Below are 8188 nucleotides of genomic sequence, written 5' to 3' on the forward strand. Positions count from 1 at the left end.
TTGACACTCACTTTCAGTTTTGTATATTGGCTTTCTGACACCAAACAGAGAGACCCCATCCTTGGGGAGACCAGCTTTGTGGGTAACAGTTTATCATGTTTACAGTGATTTTTTTTTTCGTAATTTCTAGAACTGTTAAAAGAAAGCTTTAACACAATATCTTCTTACACAATTGAATAAGGAAAGTGGGCCTGCTCCTGAGCATTGTAGGAGGTAAAACTCTATGTTTTGCTCCTGATTACTTTGGAGCTTTTTCTCACTCAGCTCTGTCTGCCTTTCTATTGCCTTTATTTGTTTACATGCCTAACTTTATCTTTCCAGACTTGAACTCTTCAATTGTGTAGCTATTACCCATATGAGGCCATTGAGCATCCAAACTACAGCTAGTCCAAATTGAGCTGTGAATACCAAATTTCAAAGACTTAGCACAAAACTAGAATGCAAAGTAGCTCAGTGACTCATATTAATTATGTGTTGAGAGGCTAATATGGTGGGTTATTTTTTCATTCATTGTGTGATATTGGGTTACTTAAACATTTGGGGTATAATAAATAGGTTAATTTAAATATATTGTTAGAATTGATTTCATCTGTTTCTTTTTATATGGCTACATTATTTATACATAACTTTTTACATTATGTTTATAAATTACATATATGACTTTCATCTAAAGCTTGAATTATATTTCTATTGGAGAGGGCTATTCTAGACTGTAAGCCCATAGAGCAGAAACAAGTTCTTATTTCTTTTCATATAATGGGTGAGAAGTTTAGGAGGCAGTGAATGATTGGCTAAATCAGTAGATATACTGATTAATTGATTTACTATTTATTCTAATTTAAACTCCATTTCCAAATAGAGTAACATGCTTCATATTCCATACATGCATGATACTGTTTTCTGTGTCCTAGTTCAGAGAGTACCAACTTCCAACCACTGGTATTTCTGGATAGGTTACAGGTAGGCCAAAAGATTGGTTCTGTCATCCCTAGAGATTGACAGATGGGAAATGAGGCTGACTGGGCCCCCAAGTCCACTTCTTTCCGCTACAAGCAGCCTCATCCATTTAATCCAGGGTATTGTACAAATACTATCATGTCCTCTGTTTATCATGATATAAAAATGAGAAATAATGTCAAAATCTTGTATGATGGAGTGGAATTGGAATTTTCTCTATGTTTTGCAGAAACAGCTTAGGAAATTAATTTAGTCATGAAATCCGTACTGGAAACTTTCTTTTCTTTTTTTCTTTTCTCTTTAAACTATTAGAATTGGTGGGTATAAATCTGAGGGGTAATCTCACTTTAGAGTTTCATAGGTTGAGGATTATTTGAAATTGGTGTAAAGCTTCCTTCCAAAATTCTCTGAATGTTGTAGATATAAATTGTGTTATTTATCTGGAGTATATAATTCCTCCAGTGAAATACATCCTAGACAACATAAATACAAGTTACTGGGAATTATGAGCCACTGAAGCATTTAGAACTTTTGGCATAATTTGCATGCCAAACTGATGGGGTATTATTATACTTATTTTGCAGTAGATGCAACTGAGCTTTGAGTAACATACCAAAATTCACATGACTATTCTGTTACAGATCTGGACTTTGAATTTTGGCTTGTTTGCTCCCCTAAAGCTTTACCATATGTTGAAAATGTGTTTCTTGGAGAGGGAAATAATCAAGAAAATTAATCACAGTTATAAATTATTGAGATACAAATTTGTCTTGCCTGTATTTCACTCCCATTGCACTTCCATGCCTCGGGAGCTTTTCTAAGACAGAAGACATTGTTGAATCCAAAGTCTATACCTAAACACTGAAGAGAAAATACTGTATGTATAAAAGGGGAGAGAGGAAAGAAAACAGAGATTACCAAAATCACAAGGAGAAAGAACCAGCCCTTGACCCATTGCATCTTGGGCTTGCATGGGTTTTCTTGCTTCACTGTTGACAAGGAAGCAGCAGAGTGCCAGACCTAAAAACCAAACAATTACAACAACAGTGGTTCATTATTATTATTATTATTATTATTATTATTATTATTATTATTATTATTATTTTGAGATGGAGTTTCACTCTTATTGCCCAGGCTAGACTGCAATGGCGTGATCTTGGCTCACTGCAACCTCCGCCTCCTGGGTTCAAGTGATTCTCCTGCCTCAGCCTCCTGAGTAGCTGGGATTACAGGCGTGCACCACCACGCCCGGCTAATTTTGTATTTTTGGTAGAGTCGGTGTTTCTCCATGTTGGTCAGGCTGGTCTCAAACTCCCGACCTCAGGTGATCCGCCCACCTCTGCCTCCCAAAGTGCTGGGATTATAGGCATGAGCCACTGTGCCCGGCCAACAACACTGTTCTTCTAGGCAAGGACAAGAGTAAGGGACTATCTCCAGTGTTGGGAAATACAACTCAGCATGAATAGAAGTGAAGATAAGACAGCTAATAAGACAGCTCTGACAAAAGGACGTTTTGTATCCCTCAAAAGTTTGCATGCGTTCTTTTTTTTGTTTTTTGTTTGTTTGTTTGTTTGTTTTGAGATGGAGTTTCGCTCTTGTTGCCCAGGCTGGATTGCAGTGGTGCGATCTTGGGTCATGGGAACATCCGCCACCTGGATTCAAGCCATTCTTCTGCCTCAGCGTCCTGAGTAGCTGGGATTACAGGCATGCACCACCATGCCCAGCTAGTTTTGTATTTTTAGTAGAGATAGGGTTTCTCTGTGTTGGTCAGGCAGGTCTCAAACTCCTGACCTCAGATAATCCGCCCCCTTTGGCCTCCCAAAGTGCTGCAATTATAGGCGTGAGCCACTGCGCCCGGCACCTGTCTTTTTTTAAATTTTCTTTTTCTTTTTGAGACAGGTTCTCACTCTGTCACCCAGGCAGGAGTGCAGTGGTGAGATCTTGGCTCACTGTAGCCTCGACCTCCTGAGCTCAAGCGATCCTCCCAAATCAGCCTCCTGAGTAGCTAGGACTACAGGTGCATGCCACAATGACTTGCTAATTTTTCTATTTTTTATATAGATGGAGTTTTGCCACATTGCCCAGGCTGTTCTAGAACTCCTGCGCTCAAGGATCCACCTGCCTCAGCCTCCCAAAATGCTGAGATTACAGGCATGAGCCACCTCATGCAGCCCCAGTTGTCTTATTTTTAAGTTGACAAATAACAATTATATACATTTATAATGTACTACACATTTTGAAATATGCATGTATTGTGGAATGGCTCAATCAAGCTAATAAACGTATGTATTATTTCATGTATTTATTTTTAGTGAGAATACTTAAGGTTTACTTTCTTAGCAATTTTCCAAGTGTAGAGTGCATTGTTACTAGCTATCATGCAATAGCTCCCTTGGACTTATTTCTCCTCATTAAAATTTTGTATTTTTTGACCAGCATCTCTTCAATCTCTCCAACCCTTAGCCCCTGGTAACCGCCCTTCTATTCTCTACTTCTATGAGTTTGAATTTTTAAAAGCCCATGCATAAATGAAGTGAAATCAATCTAAGTACCCATTCATGGATAAATGGATAAAGAAAATGTGGTATATACACACAATGGAATATTATTCAAACTGAAAAAAGAAAGAAATGTCATTTGCAACAACATGGATTAACCTGGAGAGCATTCTGTTATGTGAAATAATCCCCTTCTGTACTAACTTCAAAGCCAATCTAAAAGCAGTCTGAGAGGATGGAATGGGGATCACAGTGGGAGCCAGATGATTCCCACAGCAGTGACTCTTCCACGCAGTAGGTTCCATAGCCTGGGTAACTAACTGTTCCCCCCCAGATGACATTCTAGCAGAATTCTGGGAGATGACTGCTTTGTCTCTGAAAGAACAATGATTTCTTCCTTGGAAGCAAAGACACAGAGAGTGAATGGCCTTTTCTATTCTCAGGAAATGTGGTCCTTTTTAAGTGAACTACATCTCTCTTTGTGCCCTCTGGCCTACTCCAAGTGCTTTGCACTGTTTATCACCCTTAATCACCATGAGTGACAGAAAACCTGATAATAGACCAGGGATGACACTGCTGGTGGGGTGACCTCTTTTGAAATGTCAGACCTGAATAAGCTATATTTACATTTCTTTGGGCTCCAGCTTTTAAAAGATTTGTATCTTCCATACCAAAAGGATGAAAGTAAAAGTTATTTTGGTATCCATCCAAAATTGCATCTTAGAATTGGAATGTGTCTACATTCTCCTCCCAGCTGAGAACTCCTGTGTGAGGATCCACAGTCAACAGTAATGCAGCTGCTAGAAGCATTGCACACACTCCATCTTGGAAATATTAAAATCCATTAAAAATAAAGAAGATCATCAAGGTGCGTATTAATCACTTTAAAGATGCTTTCTTTCTTTCTTTTTTTTTTTTTTTTTTTTTGAGATGGAGTCTTAATCTGTTGCCCAGGCTGGAGTGCAGTGGCACAATCTCAGCTCACTGCAGGCTCCATCTCCTGGGTTCAAACAATTCTTCTACCTCAGACTCCCAAGTAGCTGGGATTATAGGCATGCGCCACCACACCCAGCTAAGCTACTTTTCGTATTTTAGTAGAGATGGGGTTTCACCATGTTGACCAGGCTGGTCTTGAACTCCTGACCACAGGTGATCCGCCTGCCTCAGCATGCCACATCCCAAAGTGCTGGGATTACCCATGAGCCACTGTGCCCGGCAAAGACAATTTCTTTATTATGTTGTAATATATACCGCAGGTAGGATTCTAAGTCAGAAAAACTGGGTTGGATCCCTGCTCTGTTGCTTGGATTGGCTATCTTGGGGAAGCCCCGTATTATCTCCAAGGATATTTCTTGGTGGATATAAAGGAGACAATAATACATTACTTTAGTGAGAATTAAGTGATGTAATGGATGAACGGATGTCTGTCACAGCACTTGGCATGTATTAACTACTTCAGAAACCTTAACTTTCTACCATTCCTTTGTTTTCTCCTCACCTTAATTGGGACCCTCTCACCAGAGGAAAACAAAATTATCCTGGAAAAAACTAGATCACCTCAGCATGTTCAGCCCAAAGTATGATTAAGTAATGTGCTCTGGCTAGCTACTGTGATTTAATACTTAGCTTCTCAAAGCGTGATGCATGGACCAGCAGCATCAGAGCTTATTAGAGATATAGAATCTCAGGTCTCACTCCAGACCGGCTTCACCAGAATTGGCACTCAAAGAAGACTCCAGTGTTATTTCTATACATATTGAGCACTGTTTAATGGAAAGAATACCAACTTACCAGTCAGGAGATTGGTCTTCCGGTTTGTCTTTCAGGCAAATAGTAAAGACTCTAAATTCTGTGGTTTTGTTGCCTATTCTTTAAAGCAGGGATGTTTTCACCTGCTTTCTCTGGAAAGGTCAGATATGATCTGGAATAACAAAAGTAAACCCTGTCCTTGACTGTGTATTACGTATAATATGCATGGAATGCTATTTGGATATAAATGCATTTAGGTGAACCTGGAAAAACAAAACCAAACACAGAAATACACACACACACACACACACACACACACACACACACACACACACACACGCACACACTCTTCTAATTGTCAGGAGCTGTCTCATGCCCAAGCAAGAGAAAAAGAAAGAGAAAGCAGAGAAAGCAGCAAACCTCACTCCCTTGGACACTTCCTGTAACATTTATGACTTTAAAGATGTGTTTCTCCTGTTTTCCTGCCCAAGAGAAAATTACTTGCAATTCTGCGGAGCTGCCCTTTATCCAACACTGCAAGGGCATAGAGGTATAAAAAGGGTATTGAGTCTCACTGGTACATAAGACCCTGGGTTGAATCTGTAATCAAGGCATGTAATTGGTACTTATTTGCAAACACCACTGCTGTTTGGGAAAGGGTGTTATTGTAGAGGACACTTTCAAAAACGGGTCCCCAGAGGACAGACTTTTATCATCTTAGAAGTTGAGATGCTATTTTGCTTCTCATCTTTCCTTATTCAATTCACTTTCATTCTTCATTCTTTCAGGGGTTTGCATTATATATTTTCCTCTGTGGTCAAAATAGCTGCATTCCTAATTTAAAGATGTTTCATCATTAAAAATTATATTAAACTGTCGACCATCCTCAGGAAAGACTTAATTTCCACTTTCTGCTGCAGTCAGCATGGTTGAGATTCAGTCCTTCCATAAACTTGGAATCTATTTAAAGCTATTTCCATAAACCTGGAGTTATCTGATACCTTTTCATAGTCTTGCTAACCAACTAACTACCTATTTTTAAGGGCCAATAAAATTGACCTGATTTCGGCTAAAAGGGAGAAACACACTTTAAATTCTGCAGAACTAAGAAATTATAGAAACAGAGTTTATAGAGAGAAAGCAATAAAATTGCAAAGTGCAAATATTTGGGAGAGTTAGACTATTGCTGTTGGATTTTGGGAAGAAACTTGGGGGAGAGGGGTGAGCAGACATTCCCCCAGGGCAATCTTCACAGTTGATTTTAAGCCAAACCCACTGTGACTCACATCAGCACTTTTTTCTGAGGGAAAATGTTATCTTGCTCTTTGTTAAAGTAGCATGTGCTCAGTAGATGCAGATTGGTGTGCTCCTCATATCATGGGGTTTTGACCCAGTTTGCTTCTATTTTGCAAAGAATATTCGGAAAAAACTGAAAGAAAATGGGTAAAAAATTCACAATATTACCCCCCAACAATTCTCTCACTTTATCCTGTGAGTGGTTTTTTATCTTTTTATCATTTGAGCTATTCTCTGTATTTGTGAATATTTTGCATATTTGTATTCATAATACGGGTATAATTGTTATTTCTTCCTTGCCTAAAATACTTTACAAATATTTTCATTCTTTCCATATAATTTGCTATGGCAGCCATAGGGAACTAATATACCCATGAAGAGTTTTGCACCTTATCTGAATGCATTAAGCAGCCATTGACACACTTAAATTTAGAGATAGCATTGTCCTGTACAAAAGATGACCCTACGTCGAAAGTCAGGGTGGGAAGGTGACAGTACTGGAGGCAGAGGTATTTCATTCATTCATACATTTAATAATTCATTCATTTATCCATTCTCCAAATAGTTATCACATGCCAATTCACTATGCACATGGCTATGCAAGATTCTAAGCATAGAGTGGAGAACAGAATAGATTTTGCATTCATGAAACTGAGAATTTAGGGAAGAGATGACCAAGAAAGGAAGAGCAACTAAATAATCACAAATTGTGTGAATGACAAAAAGGAAAAGAAATGGTGAAGGATGAGAGTGGGATAGAGGTGGGCAGTAGGTGATTTGATTTAGGTATGGTGTTAGAGCTATCCCTGTGAAGTCCTCCCTAAAGTCCAGGAAAGAATGTACACCATCCCTGGCAAAGGGAACAGCATATGCAAAGGAGATCTGGAAGCTGGGAAGAGACTGGAAAGAACAGAGTGGCCAGGACATTGCAGGGGAGAAAAGAACCACAGAAAATGAAGTTGAGGACCAGTAAAGGCCACGTGGTGCTGTAGCTCCCGGGCCGCAATTAACAGTGTAGATTTTGTTTCATATGTAACAAGAAGCCAAGGGAGACTTCTAAACAGGAGGAAAACTTAGTGTAATTTCTGTTTTATAAGGATCTCTCTGGGCCAGGCACGGTGGCTCACGCCTGTAATCCCAGCACTTCGAGAGGCTGAGGTGGGTGGATCACCTGAGGTCAGGAGTTTGAGACCAGCCCGACCAATATGGTAAAACCCCATCTCTACTAAAAATACAAAAATTAGCCAAGCGTGGTGACACATGCCTGTAATCCCAGCTACTCAGGAGGCTGAGGCAGGAGAATTGCTTGAACCCGGGAGGCAGAGGTTGCAGTGAGCCGAGATCTTGCCACTGCACTCCCTGGGCGACAGAGCGAAACTCCAAGTCAAAAACAAACACACACACACACACACACACACACACACACACAAAGGATCCCTCTGTCTTCTGGGTACAGAATAAGAAAGGAAGAATCAAAACCCCATCTCCACTAAAAATACAAAAATTAGTCGGGAGTTGTGCCGTGCACCTGCATTCCCAACTACTTGAGAGGCTGAGGCAGGAGAATCACTTGAACCCAGAGGAGGGGTTGCAGTGAGCCAAGTTCAGGTCACTGCACTCCAGCCTGGGCGACAGAGAGAGACTAGGTCTCAAAACAAAAACAAAAATAACAACAGAAGAAAAACCTT

The 8188-nt window shown here is 39.9% G+C and overlaps 1 long non-coding RNA gene across 1 annotated transcript; it reads right to left on the bottom strand.

Annotated features, from left to right (window-relative positions):
- Nucleotides 1-1789: 1789 nt before the first annotated feature.
- Nucleotides 1790-6592, bottom strand: LOC107984822 (uncharacterized). Its single transcript, XR_001752333.1, has 3 exons — nt 6491-6592; nt 5247-5376; nt 1790-1977 (listed from the first exon to the last, which is right to left on the bottom strand). It is a non-coding gene; the product is annotated as an uncharacterized LOC107984822 (long non-coding RNA).
- Between the last annotated feature and the right edge of the window lie 1596 nt (nt 6593-8188).

The sequence above is a fragment of the Homo sapiens genome, chromosome 16, assembly GCF_000001405.40.
Source record: "Homo sapiens chromosome 16, GRCh38.p14 Primary Assembly".
Lineage (NCBI taxonomy): Eukaryota > Metazoa > Chordata > Mammalia > Primates > Hominidae > Homo > Homo sapiens.